The sequence below is a fragment of the Homo sapiens genome, chromosome 1, assembly GCF_000001405.40.
Source record: "Homo sapiens chromosome 1, GRCh38.p14 Primary Assembly".
NCBI classification, from domain to species: Eukaryota; Metazoa; Chordata; class Mammalia; order Primates; family Hominidae; genus Homo; species Homo sapiens.
In genome coordinates this window covers 117,107,454-117,123,927 of record NC_000001.11, presented here as the reverse complement: position 1 = coordinate 117,123,927, position 16,474 = coordinate 117,107,454, and the positions used below count along the sequence as shown (strand labels likewise).

Sequence of the window (16,474 nt, the reverse complement as noted above, 5' to 3'; positions counted from 1 at the left end):
CAGGCGCGGTGGCTCACGCCTGTAATCCCAGCGCTTTGGGAGGCCGAGGCGGGTGGATCACCTGAGGTCAGGAGTTCGAGAGGAGCCTGCCCAACATGGTGAAATCCAGTCTCTACTAAAAATACAAAAAATTAGCCAGGTGTGGTGGTGCATGCCTGTAATTCCAGCTACCTGGGAGGCTGAGGCAGGAGAATCGCTTGAACCCTGGAGGTGGAGGTTGCAGTGTGCCGAGATCCTGCCATTGCATTCCGGCCTAGGCAACAAGAGCAAAACTCAATCTCAAAAAAAGAAAAAAAAAAAAAGGGAAAGGTAGAGGTAGCCCGAATATAATCTTAGATATGGCATCATAAGGTTGTGTTCAAGTTCCAGATATGTTAACTTGGGCTGGCCATCCAAGACCTGGCAAGACCTCTTTGAGGCCATTTCCTTACAATATTGTTAAAGGTTAAATGAGATACTGCTAAATGAGATATTGCACGTGTAAATTATGAAGTACTTCTGAAACAAGAGAAGCTTGAAACTACTACCACAAGAAATGTGATACAGTATGAACAAGAGATGAAGTAAAGCACAGCCAAGCAGCAGGGAGGGTAAAGGTGAAGTTCAAAGCAAGAATATATAGCAAACCCAAGTCCACACAGTTTTTGTGACTTCCTCCAGCCTACTGGAGAGGCGAATGCCGATTTTGAGAGTAGATGCAAGAAGGACAAGAGGCTGAAAAAAATCTAGGTAAGGACTATTTAAAAATCTTTGGAGATATGCTTAACATTTGGAAATTACTTGCACATTTTATATAAAGGTGGCATTTGACTCATTGGCGTGTTATATTTTGGAAATGGCCAAACATTTCATTTTTATATTTTATAATGGTTTTTTTTTTTTTTTTCATATTTTGGGGTTAACTTTTTTTCAGATTCCATACTTTTAAAAGCTTAGGCTCCAGACACTATGCCTATAGCATGAAACAGATAATGAAGGAATCAAGTGAAACAGTCGCCCACTGGGTACAAATTAAGTAGGGAAGGTCATGAACAAAGAAAGCAGTGAGGGCCCAGTAGACAAGCTGACGCAACTGGAGATAACAACAGGTGGAGGGGAAAGGAGCAGCTGTTTCCATTTTTGGAATTTTGGAGAATCAGGAGACGCCTGGTAAGGCCAGAGAAGGTGGCCGTGTAATTATAAAGTTAAAGGGGTCGGACGTGTTCATCTTCCCAATTAGTTTTAAGCCCACAAAGGGCTTGTCCCTCATTGCCACCGTCCATTGTCTCACTGTGACCAGGCAGGAGCCCTCCGTGATTGACTGATAAAAACAGCGGGTCCAACTCGCTCAGCTCGTTTCTGTTACACAGGACTGTGGAATCCCGGGTGACATTCAACTCCTTAGGTCATCTGCACTCCCCCCGGACCGGAAAACAAAGCCTTCCCGAGCCCGACAAGGAGGGTGGCGCTCCCTGGCCCGGCCGAAGTAAGCCCTCCATTCGACACCTCGGCTCCACGGTCTCCCGAACCGGTCCCCGTAACGCGAGCCTGAGATGCCCTCACCCCCGAAAAATACCCAAAGTCGGGGAGCCGCGGGAGTGCTTGTACCCAGCACGCTAGGCCTGAGGGACCTGTGAGCTACAGTAAGCGCCTGAGGACAGAGGGGAGCCTCGCAGCCTCAAACCCGCGTGGAGGAGAAACGTCTGGCGCCCCCGAGCGGCCGAGACCTCGGGAGCCCGAAAAACGTCTCCCACTCCCAGCGCAGAGCCAACTGACAGTGCCATCCACCAATGGGAGAACCCAGTCTGCGTTCGTGGGACGAGTCCGAGGGCAGAAAGAAGGCCGTCCCGGCGCCAAATCAGCGTGGCTTTTTAAGAGGTCCTGAGGCCTCTCTGGTCACCACAGAGAGAGGGACAGTCCCTGTGAAACGGTGACGCTGACTACACTATGCCGCTCGCTCCGAGCCTTGGCCTTTTCCTCCCGCCGCACTCTAAGCCCTTCGGCCGCCCCGCCCACGGCCTTGTCAGGTCCCGCCCCCCGCGTGAGTGGACTGGCGAAGATGTGGAATTTCCAAAACTTATTGGATGCTTAGTGGCGTCACTCTGGAGGGCGGCGGGGCCCGGAGCGGCGAGGGCCGCCGCTCTCGGACGGTGATTGGACTCGCCGGAGTAGACCGGGCTGGGATTGGTGTGAGGAGGGGCCAGAGCCCGCGGGCGTCCCGGGCCGAGGCGCGGGAGAGGCGGTGGACACCGAGAAGCCCGCCGGCGGCTTGCAATTCCCTCACCCGGCGCGCGCCTTTCGCAGAGGGAAGGAGCAAGAGGGCCCCTACCTCATCGTGCGCGGGTGGGGTCGGCGCTTGTCGCGTGTGGCGCGCAGTGGGGCGGGCGGCGGGAGGGGGGTGGCAGTGGAGGGAGCGAGAGGTGCAGGGGTGACTTTGTTGGCAGCAGGACTAGCTGGAGAGCTAGACCTGGAAGCGCATCCGGGGAGGACTTGCGGGGCAGAGGAGGGCGTGGGCGTGTCTGGTGTGGGATGCAGTGGAAAGGAGGGGGCCCTCCTGAGTAGATCTGTGGGTGATTCCTTCGAGGACGCCTCGTCTTCCCGTCTGCCCTTTTATTTGTCAGCGAGGGAGTCCCCATGGTCTCTGTTCAAGTTCTGGAGACTTTCTCTTTGGGTGGGCTTAATCACCTGCTACTAAATCGTAGAACTGCCCAGGGCCCTTTCTAATATTGGTCACAAACGTGAGGAGTATGTCAGAAAACAGAAAACCGCTGCTGGGCTTTGTAAGCAAACTCACTAGTGGGACTGCACTTGGGAACTCAGGCAAGACTCACTGCCCCCTGTGCTTGGGGCTTTTCAAAGCCCCCAGGCTCTTGCCTTGTTTGCATACAGTTTGCACCACGTGTCTGGAGCAGCTGGAGCCCTTCTCAGTAGTGGACATCCGAGGGGGAGACTCTGACACAAGCTCTGAGGGGTCAATATTCCAGGAACTCAAGCCACGAAGTCTGCAGTCGCAGATCGGCATCCTTTGTCCTGTATGTGATGCTCAGGTGGACCTGCCCATGGGTGGAGTGAAGGCTTTAACCATAGACCACCTGGCCGTGAATGATGTGATGCTGGAGAGCCTACGTGGGGAAGGCCAGGGCCTGGTGTGTGACCTGTGCAACGACAGGGAAGTAGAGAAGAGGTGTCAGACCTGCAAAGCCAACCTCTGCCACTTCTGCTGCCAGGCTCATAGGTAAAGATGGGACACTCCATCAGGTGTAGCTTAAGAGCAGATTACAAAGAGGTGTCAAGACAAATCCCTCGGTGAGCAGATGAAAAGGAAAGCCTTCTCAAATACCGTGGAAGGTCAAAGAGCAATATAACAATGCAATAGCAAATACTCCAGTACAACAGTTAACCCGGTTAGCCTAATATAGTACCTAATATATAGCCTAATATAGCAATAGCAATAAACCCTTTCAATTTACAAAGTGCAGCTACAGTTTCCTTCAGTCATTCGTGTAGTGAATAATTGTACTGGGTGCTGGAGAAACAGGAGAATGAATATAACAGCATAGATCCTGTTCTTGATCTCCTTCGATCTTGCAACTCTTACAGAAAAGCAGGCCCTGTTTTCGCCCCCATTTATTAATTGGGGAAACAAGCTCAGCAATATTATGTGATTTGCCAAGGTCCTACAGTTGGTAAGTGTGTAACAGAACTGAGTATTAAATCCAGATCATTTTGACTACATTCCAGTAACCCATGCTGTGCTCCTAGAATAGGTGATGATGATTGGCCGGACCTCAGCTTTTGCTTTGTGTACCTTAGAGTTACTCTGGAGCTTGGTGAGGTGGGCTGGTAGGTGTTAATTGGGGTGCAGACTATGTGTTTTATGGCATTTGGTGAATAGTTTGTCAGATGGATCACTTTTGTCCCTTCGTACTCTTACCTTACCCCATCCTAGGACACCAGAATATAAAATGACCACAGTTTTAGGATTAGCCTAAAATAGGTTTCGGGTTCTACTTCCATTTGTTTTCTGGCTACACTAACAGAACAAGTTTGTAGACTTCACTCTATTTTTAACTTGTAATTATGTGATAGTCCCTGCGACTGTCTTGCTGCCAGCCAAACCAGCTAACCCTATTTTCTCTGCAGCCACTCTTCTGGTGCCAGAATAGGCATATAAGCTTCAAATTGATACAATGCTAATGGAGGAACTCTGAACAGTCACCATGTTTTCCTAAGGATTTCCCTACATCTCTAGAGGGCTACTATAGGAAAGGAATTAGAAAGAGAGCTTTGATTCTACTAACCATTGGTTTCACACTTTCTTTTCTCTTTTTTTTTTTTTCTGAGATGGAGTCTGGCTCTAGTCGCCCAGGCTGGAGTGCAATAACACAATCTCCACTCACTGCAACCTCCACCTCCTAGGTTCAAGCGATTCTCCTGCCTCAGCCTCCCCAGTAGCTGGGATTACAGGCACATGCCACCACGCCTGGCTAATTTTTTGTATTTTTAGTAGAGACAGGGTTTCACCATGTTGGCCAGGCTGGTCTCAAACTCCTGACCTCAGTTGATCCGCCCACCTCAGCCTCCCAAAATGCTGGGGTTACAGGCGTGAGCCACCGCGCCCGGCCGGTTTCACGCTTTCTAATGATGTTGACGATGTCTCTTGAAAAAAATTCTAGCCTGCTGATTTGGGTGATACAGGTCAACAGAAATGCTTCACCAAAATCTTAGATGCAAGCTAGATGAGACTTGGTGTCTGCTTTTTAATTGCTTGGACTTTATTGCTGTGTTATCTGGCATGGTTTCTGTTTCTTGATGCTGGTTTTCTGCCATGCCCTCACTGCTAGCTTACCTTAGGAAGCCGACTGTGACTCTTGTCTAAACTCTTTGGGAAAGTTCTAGCATGCAGTCATAGTCTTGCAACCTTCTGCATAGGCATGTAGCCAGCCAGAGCCCTAGTCTGTTCACACGTTATTCTATACAACAGCTCTTTCAGGTAGGTATTGTCCCCACTGTACAGATGAGAAACTGGAATCAGAGAGGTTCATGCAATTAGAGATTAGAGCAAGGAATTGAAATCAGGTTTGTTTAACTTCAGATCCTGTGCTCCTAAAATCTCTCTGCCCAACTATTCCCAACAGAATTATCCCCTTATTTCCTGTTACTGATTCTGTTTGCCCCTAGGCGGCAGAAGAAAACGACTTACCACACCATGGTGGACCTAAAAGACTTGAAAGGCTACAGCCGGATTGGGAAGCCCATCCTGTGTCCTGTTCACCCTGCAGAGGAACTGAGGCTGTTCTGTGAGTTCTGTGACCGGCCCGTGTGCCAGGATTGTGTGGTGGGGGAGCATCGGGAACACCCCTGTGACTTCACCAGCAATGTCATCCACAAGCATGGGGACTCTGTGTGGGAGCTCCTCAAAGGTACTCAGCCCCACGTGGAGGCCCTGGAGGAAGCCCTGGCTCAGATCCACATAATAAACAGTGCCCTCCAGAAGCGAGTGGAGGCAGTGGCAGCTGATGTCCGGACATTCTCGGAGGGCTACATTAAGGCCATTGAGGAGCATCGGGACAAGCTGCTGAAGCAGCTGGAAGACATACGGGCCCAGAAGGAAAATTCCCTGCAGCTGCAGAAGGCCCAGCTGGAACAGTTACTGGCAGACATGCGGACTGGAGTGGAGTTCACCGAGCACTTGCTGACCAGCGGCTCAGACTTGGAGATCCTCATCACCAAGAGGGTGGTGGTAGAACGGCTCAGGAAGCTGAACAAAGTTCAATATAGCACCCGTCCTGGAGTAAATGATAAGATACGCTTCTGTCCTCAGGAGAAAGCAGGCCAGTGCCGTGGCTATGAAATTTATGGTACGATTAATACCAAAGAGGTTGATCCAGCCAAATGTGTCCTACAAGGAGAAGGTAGGAAGGCATTTCCCATTGACATTGAGAGGGCAGTGGACAGGGAGGTGGTGTGTGAAGATTGGTGGCTTGTTCTGCTAGGAAGCATGCCCTACTGACCAGGTTACCAAAGGTGGGGAGATAAACTGATCTGAAAGACAGTGACCCCCACCTTTGCCCTTTCTGGTTTGTTCTGGCTAGGGTACAGTTAATACAGGAGTGAGGCTTGACCCTTTTCCAGTTCAGAGAAGTAATAATGGCTGAGAAACACACAGATCATGTTTTGTTTCTATCAGATGGCAGAACAGAGACAGTGCCCGTTGGAGGTAACAGCAGTGACTAGGGCCAGGTGAAATTCTGCCTGCTCAGAGAGGAGCATGGCAGGCCCTGGATTCCTAGATCAAGTTCTGAAGGGAGTTTCAGAGGAATGAGGAAGATGAGATTACGGTTTCCTTTCCTTTAGGCCCTTTTTGGTTCACATCAACTTTACTGGCATTTAAAAGGATATGGTAGGTGTTTCATTTAATTGGGGGAAAAAATGGTTTTTTTTAACGAGTGTTCCCTTTCTAATGGAAGCATATTATTAAAACATATGTTTCACAGGTCAGTAGGTCAGTCCTGATAGGAAGATTGCATCTTAATGACACAGGCATTCTTAACTGTTTGGAAGCCATAGATCTCTTTGAGAATGTTCTCTCCTACAGAAACACCCAGTAACTTGTGCATACAATTCCAGATTTTTAGACTCTTCATAAGCCTTTCCATAGACCTCATAGTAGTTCATGAACCTCAGGTTAAGAAACCCTGTTTCATCTGAATGCTGGAGTAGGGGCTGTAGCTACTGGATATCCCCCCAGTACCTTGGCATGAGCTACCAAGTTGCAGAGGATCTCAAAACATGGAGGGTCGTGAGGCTGGTCAGCTGTACTCCCTGCCTAGCCCAGCAGGATCTGGAGCTTAGGGAGGGTGGTTTTGGGGTTACTATCCTCTCTCACAGGGTCTAGAGGTTTTCTTTAAATACCTCGGTCAGTCGTGAGTATTTTTAAAGCATAGGACCTTCAGTCCTAGGACTGAAGGTAAGGTCCAGGATCCTGTGTGATCCAAAGCAGCTGCTAGCTGAGAGAACCAGGCCAACCAGGAAGGACTCCCAAGAGGCGTACTCTGGGAGGCAGAAGGGGAAGAGAAAACAAAGGGACCCAGGGTGGTTACAGTAAAGTACAACCCTTTGTTCTGAAGAGAAAAAGCAAGATGGAGATGTAGTCACTGCAGTTTACATTCGAGGTGAGGACCGAGTGTTTATCTTTTTCAGACCTCCACAGAGCCCGGGAGAAACAGACGGCCTCTTTCACCCTGCTTTGTAAGGATGCCGCAGGAGAAATCATGGGCAGGGGAGGAGACAACGTTCAAGTTGCCGTTGTCCCTAAAGATAAGAAAGACAGGTTTGTATGACACAATTAGGTGTCATGGATAACAGGCAGTGAGAAAACTGGAAACATGAGGTCCTTTAAGATATTGGAGCTGGGCACAGTGGCTCATGCCTGTAATCCCAGCACTTTGGGAAGTGGAGGCAGGAGGATCGCTTAAGCCCAAGAGTTCAAGACCAGCCTGGGCAACATAGGGACACCCTGTCTCTACAAAATTAAAAAAAAAAAAATTAGCCGGGAGTGGAGGCATATGCCTATAATCCCAGCTATTCAGGAGGCTGAGATGGGAGGATCCCTTGAGCCCAGGAGGTCGAGGTTGCAGTGAGCTGTGATTGTGCCAGTGCACTCCAGCCTGGGCAACAGAGCAAGACCCCAGGTCCAAAAAAAAAAAAAAGATATTGGAGTGTAACTCACTAGTTACGTCTTACCTCCCCATAATACTATGAAACGTTACGTGACCAAATGTGTTTTCTTGTGTGGGTTTTGTATTCAATTCTCTCTCAAAGCTATGGTCTGCCCCTCAGATTGTTTTCATCTCAAGCTTTAGAATAAGTTGAAAAATATTCTGTGTTAGACTGAATGGTACCCTTTTCAAAATTCAGTCTCCCTTTGGTACTAAATTATGCCTGGAGCATGTTTATATTTCTCTGGAATTGTAGAATGGAGGAGGGACAACAGAGCAAGAGGGTTCAACAGAAGCCTGTTGAAAAGGACACAATAATATATTCAAGGAATTTGTCTGAATATCAGACTAAATTGGAATTTATGCTGTTTACCTTCTGTTGTAAAATTAACTTCTGAAGCAAATGGAAGAAGCATCCTGTTTGGGTATATTTAACATTAATACTGAATGGGATGGTGTAGAGTTTACATTCTGAAATAGTAGCAACTGAAGCCAGCTTGTGGAAGTGAGTGGTGTTTTGACTCTTATCTCCATTCAGCCCAGTCAGAACAATGGTCCAGGATAACAAGGATGGGACATACTACATTTCCTACACCCCCAAGGAACCTGGCGTCTATACTGTGTGGGTCTGCATCAAAGAACAGCATGTGCAGGTAAGACTGGTGCACGTGCTTCCCTGAGCTCCCTGGATTCTACTGTCTTAGGATCTGGAGACATTTCACATAGGATCAGCTATACAGAGAGATTGAATAGAATCCCCATGTCTTCTTCTTCACTTTAGAAACAGCCCAGATTTTGCTACTCTTATTCTTCCTGGAGGATGCTGTTGACCATAAGAACCCTGTATCCCTGTGTCACCTCCAGGCAGTTATGCTTATAGCTTATCATTCTCCCAGTTGGTTTCTTAGGATTCTTAATATGGAGAAGATGTCTTGATCACAGGGGGTGATCTGCCAGCAGACAACCATGCATATTCAAAAAATATAATCTAGCTCAGGATTTTCCAGTTTTGTCCAGACTGTGTCTGGACATGAACACAGTTGAGAGGGTTATGCCCCCTCCTCACAATTGACTAGTCATCTATCTGCCTAACCATCTGCTCATGTAATTTTCTACTCTGTTTTACATATAGGTTTTTCTGTTACTATGGTTCCTATAAACAAACAAATATACCAAACAAGTTACGTTACCATGGTTTCTACAAACAAGTATAACACAAGTAGAGCACTTTCTGCTTTAGAGAGTATGAGTTTTTAAAAATTGGGTGATACTAACAGGTCGAGCAGAATCTCTCTGCTGACATTGGAGTAGTCAGAGGTTTCCCTCCACAGAAATCAACACTGACAGGGACAGTAAAATACCATATAGCATCATGATATATTAGGCTTATGATTTGTGCACTAAGGAACATTCATATTTAATAGCCATTTATTGTTTACCTAATTATGGTATGTCAGGAACAGGTTAGGTGTTTTTACATACATTATTTCAATTTGCCTCAAAACCCTTCAGGCACAGGGATCAGTGTCCAATTAGACTGAGACACCAAACTTGCATTAAAATACACAGCAAATGTAGCAAAATAGGAATTTGAACCCATTTCTTTGAATGCCAAGTTGTTTTTTAACTGGATTGTAAACTCTTTAAGATGGGAAATTTAACATCTGAAAGACTTCTAAGGTGCTAGGTTCTCTGTTTTGCGTTTTCGCAAACAATGTGGCTCTCACATAAGGATAGGCACATTGCAACTTATTAAATATTTAAATTGGGCATGATGGTGTGCACCTGTAGTCCCAGCTACTTGGGAGGATTGCCTGAGCCCAGGAGCTCAAGGCTGCAGTGAGCTATGGATGTGCCAGTGCACTCCCGCCTGGTGACAGAGTGAGATCCCATCTTTAAAAAAATAAATAAATATTTTTTGTTTAACATGGGATATAAATTAGAGAACGAAAGTTATCCTTAAAGGAAAGGGGGCAGATGGGAGAGTTACTAATTTGAGAATTATTAGCTGTACACATTTTAACCTTTCTCCCTTCCATATGTCTTTACAGTCCCAGAATAAGTGGGTGAGTAAACAGATAAGTCATGTCCAGGATGGAAGGAAAGAGGCTAGCTTGGTATGTGAGAAGAGGTACATGGCTGAGAAATTGGAGAAGGGACCACAGAATGTCCTATCTTTGTGGTTGTGACATTCTACTTATTATACCTGAGGTTCCTTAAGAATTGAGATTGAGAATCCCAGAGAAAAGTCAGTCTGAGATTACTAATGTATTGAATGATCTAGGTACTTATACTTCATACAAGGATAGAGTGAGGCAGAATCCATCAAGAAAAGCTTAAGCTTATTGTGGCATGGGCTTCTGCTTTTGCTGCCATCTTGCCAGAACAATTATTCCCAGCTAATACAGATGTCACTGAAAATGGAGCTGACTGTGTGACTCCTTTCAGTGTCCAGCAGGTTCAGCTACATGGAATAAATCAGTACCTACGTCTAGTACTTAGCATCTGCGGTGAAAAGCATGGTAGGAGGGCTGCATAGACCCTGTGATGCTTCCACTGCATCTGTGTCTGCCTCCTCTCAGCTGAGCAGGGTTCTTGTCCTCTAATCTGTTTCTTTCCTGTTGTCCTTGTCCATCCAAGGACAGGCCCTGTGCCTCAGACTCTGTTTAGCACATAGTGATGCGCAGCACATCCTGTTAACTCGTAAGATGCTGTTCATTGCTTTTGGTCTGAACACTGCAGGGCTCGCCATTCACTGTGATGGTGAGGAGAAAGCACCGCCCACACTCAGGCGTGTTTCACTGCTGCACCTTCTGCTCCAGCGGGGGCCAGAAAACCGCTCGCTGCGCCTGTGGAGGCACCATGCCAGGTAAGGAGAAAGCACTACCCTCTGGGCCTTTCTGCCAGCAGTGGGAATCAAGCGACGGGCCCTTCCCTACCACACAGCCACTAGACATTTGGACTTAGGCTCTGTTTCTAGGAAGCACAGTCTGTGATTGTAGAGACACCACTGTTCTAAAAGTGTCACTTAAAGCTTCCTTGTTCTGAATTGAAATAGCAGACTTAAAAGCTCTCAGTTCTGTTAGTTTTGGTACAGCTCCTATGAGCCCTGTGCTTCTATGTAGGATTCTCAGTTTGTCTGTCCCTTTCCAGCGGCCTAAGCAGTGTGAAAACTATGGACCCATCTTATTCCTTTTAGAACCTTAAATAAATTCCAAATGAGGCATGGCTAGGGGAGTGGATGATTAAACCAATTGAACAAGGTCTGGGTCTTTCGGGGGACAGAAAGGATAGGGAGTCAGTTTAGGTTAGGGATCTAATTACTTTAAAAAAAAATTATTGTGTCCTTACTCTAATAATGGGCCATAAAATGGGCTTTTGCATCCTTCTGTATAAACACTTGAGGATCTACCTCTATTTTTTTAATGTCCACCAACCTATCCTTTTTTATTTCAATGATTTTACAGTTAAAATCCAAACCAATTTATTTTACAGTTAATGTGCAAACTAGTTCGCCTCCTTCAGGTGGTAAGTTCTATCACTACAGCATTCTTAGAACTCCGGCTAACATGAGTTGATTTGCTGTGATCAATTCTCAGGGTCCTCCTGACTGCACAACAGTCAGACAGCTTGTTCCTCTTGCCAAGATTTTCTTAGATATTTTCACTCCCATGAATCTGCATGTTGCCAGGAGGTCTAATTTCCATGATAATGGTAACTGCTGGCCTCCACGCTAATGGTTGATTTTTGTCCTTTCCTCTTTGTCCCATGTAGGTGGGTACCTAGGCTGTGGCCATGGACACAAAGGCCACCCAGGTCATCCCCACTGGTCATGCTGTGGAAAATTTAATGAGAAATCTGAATGCACATGGACAGGTGGGCAGAGCGCACCGAGGAGTCTACTTAGGACTGTGGCTCTCTGATGGGTTTGTGCTCAGCCTTTTAAAGCTGCAGGCAGCACCACTTGAGATTTCCAGAGGACCCAGACCTTCGTTCATTCTAAAGAGACTGATAGAATTAAAAACAAAGTGCCTTATCTTGCACTGGAGTTCAAGTGCTCTTTTGTTAGTTATTCACTGATTGTACTTGTGGATGGTTGAGCACAAAAAACCACCTCTACATTTCTCTTAAAGGTAGGTTGGCAACGTTCTTTTTCTACCACAGGATACTCCTTTTCATTTTGTACAGTATGGAGGTATCTATTCCATTGGCACTGAAGGGTCTAGGTAGTTTAGTTCCTTTCTGATATAACCCTTTTTTTTTCTTTTTTTTTTTTTTTTAAAGACAGAGTCTCACTCTGTCACCCAGGCTGGAGTGCAGTGGCATGATCTCGGCTCACTGCAACCTCTGCCTCCCGGTTCAAATGATTCTCGTGCCTTGGTGTCCCGAGTAGCTGGGATTACAGGTTCCCCCCCACCTTCCCCCACACCCAGCTAATTTTTGTGTTTTTAGTAGAGACGGGGTTTCACCATGTTGGCCAGGCTGGTCTCAAACTCCTGACCTCGTGATCCACCTGCCTCGGCCTCCCAAAGTGCTGGGGTTACAAGCATGAGCCACCACACCTGGCCTATTATGACCTTTTTCATTTTTCTCTGAGCTACACATTATTTAGATATTTCCCCTAGAGATTAGAAACCTCCTTTCATCCTGTCCACTTTTTGTTAGCATACTTTCATTGGATTTACTGGTACATGTTTTGTGATCATGATAATGTGATCTTGTTTTGGTGGTGTCCCCCTACTCCGTCTCTATGCCATGACAGCCTTCTGCCCCAAAGCCTGGAAGATTACTCTTTGGTCAAGGGCATACAAATAGAAAGTTAATAAAGGGGAATGGTGTTGAAATAGAACCTCATACATTTATTACAGTTCTACTTATACAGAAAATCTAGACACCTTCATCCTTCTCACAGCTCTGTTTTTTAGTAGAGTAGTCTTTAGAGTAGTCTTCACTGTTATCTATATACCTAGAAAGTTAACTGGGAGCTTTGACTCTTACTGTGCCTTCACTCATAGTGTGCCTTCTTAGCTGCTGGAGAATTTGGGGAGAGGATGTACACAGCACTGGTGCCTCAGCCCTGCCAAGGTCTTCACTGTATATATTTTGTGTGTTCTTCTGAAACTCTTGATTTCTTATATGGCAATAAACTCAGCATGTATTAAATATAATTATTGAAATCTGCATTGTAAGATCCCTTAAGAAGTGGATGACTCACTTGGCGAATTGGGTCAGGTAAAGGAAGTGAATGATTAGATGATGACTGTCAGATCATTGTGGAATACATTTCCTCCTTGAGGCTGACAGACATGGGCTACATTATAGCCATAAATACTAAGATGTTCTCTGCGTTCTCACCCTTTTCTGGAAACATTCCCTTCAGCCTCTTTCTGTAACCCAAATCTGATCTTCCCAAAACACATTCCTGCCTGTCACCCTCTCAAATTATTAGCTATTTGCTCTTCCTCACTCCTTCTGTCACTCAGCCCAGAAGTATATGTCCTTTTAGCTTATTACTGCTGCTTTGAGATGAGTGGTTCTTTTTTTTTTTTTTTTTTTTTGAGACAGAGTCTTGCTCTGTTACGTAGGCTGGAGTGCAGTGGCACGATCTCAGCTCACTGCAACCTCCGCCTCCCAGGTTCAAGCAATTCTCCTGCCTCAGCCTCCCGAGAGTAAGCTGAGATTACAGGCATGTGCCATTACGCCCGGCAAATTTTTGTATTTTTAGCAGAGACGGGGTTTCACCAGGTTGGCCAGGCTGGTCTCGAACTCCTGACCTCATGATCCGCCCACCTTGGCCTGCCAAAGTTCTGTGACTACAGGTGTGAGCCACCATGACTGGCCGAGATGAGTGGTTCTTAACCAGGAGTGACTTTGCCCCTAAGAGGACATCTGGCAAAGTCTCAGAGACATTTTTAGTTGCCACTACTGGGGCAAGGTGCTACTAGCATCTTGTGGGTAAAGGTCAGAGATGCTGCTAGTCATTTTACAATGCTCAGGACAGCTTCCTGAAACAAAGAAGTATCCAATCCAAAATGTCAGTGGTTCCGCTGTTGAGAAACCCTGTTCTAGAGCATTAGCCCTACTTTTTTTCTAAAAATGGCCAGCCTTGGAGCTCATGCCTTTCAGCTATACAGCTTGCTATTCCTCCATGGTTCAGCCATCTACTGAGCCCCAAATTGTTCCCCTTCGTTCCTTGAAGATTATAGCATTGAGCTTGCTGTGACTCTGGTACAACTCCTTATCAATCTTGGGATAACTCATTGTCTACACAGACTTCTTAGTTCTGTGATCATTTCCCCAGTGTTATTTTTTCCCTACTTAGCCTTACATACCCTAGATCTTGATTCCAACTGCACCCTCTGCATAGTCTCAATTTCAGGCATCCTGCAACCACAACCTCCCACCTTTCCAGCTCACCCACTGTAATAACCTGACTACTAATTCTACCTCTTTGGAACCCACAATGCAGTGATTCTGCCACCTTCCTGTTGTTTCTCTCACCCACCTCAGGTCCTTCCCTTCATCCTTCCCAGCTTAGATTCTATAGACCATCACTATAGTCACTCTATTGCATAGTCTCCCTCTCATTCTTGCCTGGCAAAACTCCAACCCAGGTTAGATCCAACCTTCCATCTAACCCAACTGAATGATCCTGCAGAAAAAACAAAAGCGTGATGACTAGTCTCACTTTAAATGTATGACCACTAACTTCAGTGGGCTCTTAGCATTGCCCAATAACCTGAAACATCTCCCCAGTCCATTTATTCTCCCATGCTTCTAGACAATTCATACTTTCTTCCCCTCAAACTCCAATTTCTACCCCACCTCTACTCTGCACTTATGACCTTGCTTCCTGTTTCACCAAGAATATAAAAGGATTCAGAGAATTTCCCTAGCATCCCTACCACATGTACACATCTACCTAAATTCCTATCAAGAGCCAACTCCTGTCCCATGTACTAAATCCCATTCTATAGCCACTGCCCAAAAACATTGCGTCAGTAATTTCCCCCTCTCCCAGATTGCTTACTTCAGAAAATAAACATGGTACAATATTCCCTCTTAAAATACGAATTTCCCTTTTGTATTAGTTGGCTAGGGCTGCCATAACAATACCATGGACTGGGTGGATTAAACAACAGAAATTAGTTTTCTCACAGTTCTGGAGTCTGGAAGTCCAAAATCTAGGTGCTGGCAGGGTTGTTTTTTGGTGAGGACTCTGTCCTTGGCTTGCAGATGGCAACCTTGTTTTCACATGGCCTTTCTCCTGTGTGTATGTGCTCCTGGTGTCTCTTCATATAAGGACACCAGTCCTATTGGATTAGGACCCCACCCACATGATGTCATTTAACCTTAATCACCTCCTTAAAGGCCCTTTCTCCAAATATAGTCGCATTGGGTGTTAGGGCTGAGTTTTCAAGAAGAATTTCACATCCCCCTTTAGCAACCTTTCCCCTTTTCTGCTCCTCTTTAAAAGGACCTCAAAAGAATTGTTGTTTGGTATCTCTAGTTTCCCTCCCACTCTCTGTAAGATCTAATCCAGTCAGTCTGTCATCCTCAAGACTCCACGGAATAGCTCTTGTCAAGGTTACCAGTAAACTCCAGGTTACAGAATCCAATGGCCAATTCCCAATCTTTATCTTTTTTGACCACCCAATATCAGAGAAATCTTTTAAAATATGTCAGCTCATGTCACTCTTCTGCTCACCACTGTCCATTGGCCGCACATCTCAGAAAAGTGAGTCTTTACATCAGCATGTAAGACCCCGCATGATCTGGATCCCTGCTCTTACTGCCCACCCATCCGCCTCCATCACCCTATTCCAGCCAAACTGGTCTGCCTGGTGCTCCTCAAACTCCAAGCACTGTCTTGGGGCCTTTAGAATCACTGCCCCTCCATCTGAAATGCTTTTTTCACAGATACCTTCATGATTCATGTTCCTCTCAAGTTCTCGCTCCAGTATCAAAAATCACCCTATTAGCTAACTACCCTGTACAAAATAGCAACTTCCCACCCCAGAGTTGCCCAGTTTCATCACCATCTCACATATATATATGTTTTGTTTTGTGGTTTTTTTTTTTGGAGACAGGGTCTCTCTCTCTCTGTTACCCAGGCTGGAGTGCAGTGGCACAATCTCGGCTCACTGCAGCCTCTGCCTCCCGAGGTTCAAGTGATTCTCCCACCTCAGCCCCTGGAGTAGGTGGAACCATAGGCACACCACCCCCCCGACCCCATGCCTGGTGAATTTTTTGCATTTTTTGTAGAGATGGGGTTTTGCCATGTTGCCCAGGCTGGTCTCAAACTCCTGGCCATCTCAGCCTCCCGAAGTGCTGGGATTACAGGCCAACATGTATATATTCTGTTTGTTGTCTGTCCTCTCATATTAGATTGTAAGCTCTATGAGGGCAGGGATATTTTTAAACTACCATACTGTCCCGATGTAGGACAGTTCCTGGCACATAGTAGAGACTTAATATTATGATCAGTGAATAAAGATCTAATTGGTAGAATTTTTAGTTTGGATCTCCTTGGTATCTGTTTTTATAAGCCAGACTTCCCTTCTCCCGAACCTCAGTATTTGTCATTTAAACAAATACCACTTGGAAAAAAAATCAGCCTTATCTCGAGTCTGTTGGATAAATTATATGCACCTGAGAGACCAGCCTTGAATTTTCCAATTACCTCATACATCTAGGGAACTGCTTCCCATGAAGAAGCCTGTTGTATTATATCATCTATCCCCATGTGCCTTTTAATGAATCTGATTTCAGAA

The 16,474-nt window shown here is 46.0% G+C and overlaps 1 protein-coding gene across 5 annotated transcripts, besides 2 other annotated features; it reads left to right on the top strand.

The window, feature by feature from the left end:
- Positions 1-12,868, top strand: TRIM45 (tripartite motif containing 45). 5 transcript variants are annotated; one of them, XM_047430914.1, is made up of 7 exons: positions 1-2,020; positions 3,027-3,214; positions 5,161-5,894; positions 7,183-7,312; positions 8,239-8,353; positions 10,443-10,569; positions 11,475-12,868. In XM_047430914.1, exons 2-7 carry the CDS (start codon positions 3,039-3,041, stop codon positions 11,621-11,623), a joined length of 1,431 nt encoding a protein of 476 aa, XP_047286870.1. In that variant the 5' UTR covers positions 1-2,020; positions 3,027-3,038; the 3' UTR covers positions 11,624-12,868. The 5 variants fall into 5 exon arrangements, 3 of the variants coding, with proteins under 3 accessions (XP_047286870.1, NP_001139107.1, NP_079464.2); XR_007063980.1 differs by lacking the exon at positions 1-2,020 and having other exon boundaries at positions 2,179-3,214; positions 5,161-5,840; positions 11,475-11,833; positions 12,716-12,868; XR_246297.2 differs by lacking the exon at positions 1-2,020 and having other exon boundaries at positions 2,179-3,214; positions 11,475-11,833; positions 12,716-12,868.
- Positions 1,745-1,914: an enhancer, noted in NCBI's record as "active region_1580". NCBI's record gives its function as "activates an Ori minimal core promoter by ATAC-STARR-seq in GM12878 lymphoblastoid cells {active_cell/tissue: GM12878}" and the evidence as "EXISTENCE:reporter gene assay evidence [ECO:0000049][PMID:35858748]".
- Positions 2,225-2,414: a silencer, noted in NCBI's record as "silent region_1237". NCBI's record gives its function as "represses an Ori minimal core promoter by ATAC-STARR-seq in GM12878 lymphoblastoid cells {active_cell/tissue: GM12878}" and the evidence as "EXISTENCE:reporter gene assay evidence [ECO:0000049][PMID:35858748]".

Coding starts and splice junctions, on each gene's coding strand:
- TRIM45 (NM_025188.4), top strand. CDS start 2,727: ATGTCAGAAAACAGAAAACCGCTGCTGGGCTTTGTAAGCAAACTCACT. Junction 3,215..5,160: donor TTCTGCTGCCAGGCTCATAG/GTAAAGATGGGA, acceptor GTTTGCCCCTAG/GCGGCAGAAGAAAACGACTT. Junction 10,570..11,474: donor CTGTGGAGGCACCATGCCAG/GTAAGGAGAAAG, acceptor TGTCCCATGTAG/GTGGGTACCTAGGCTGTGGC.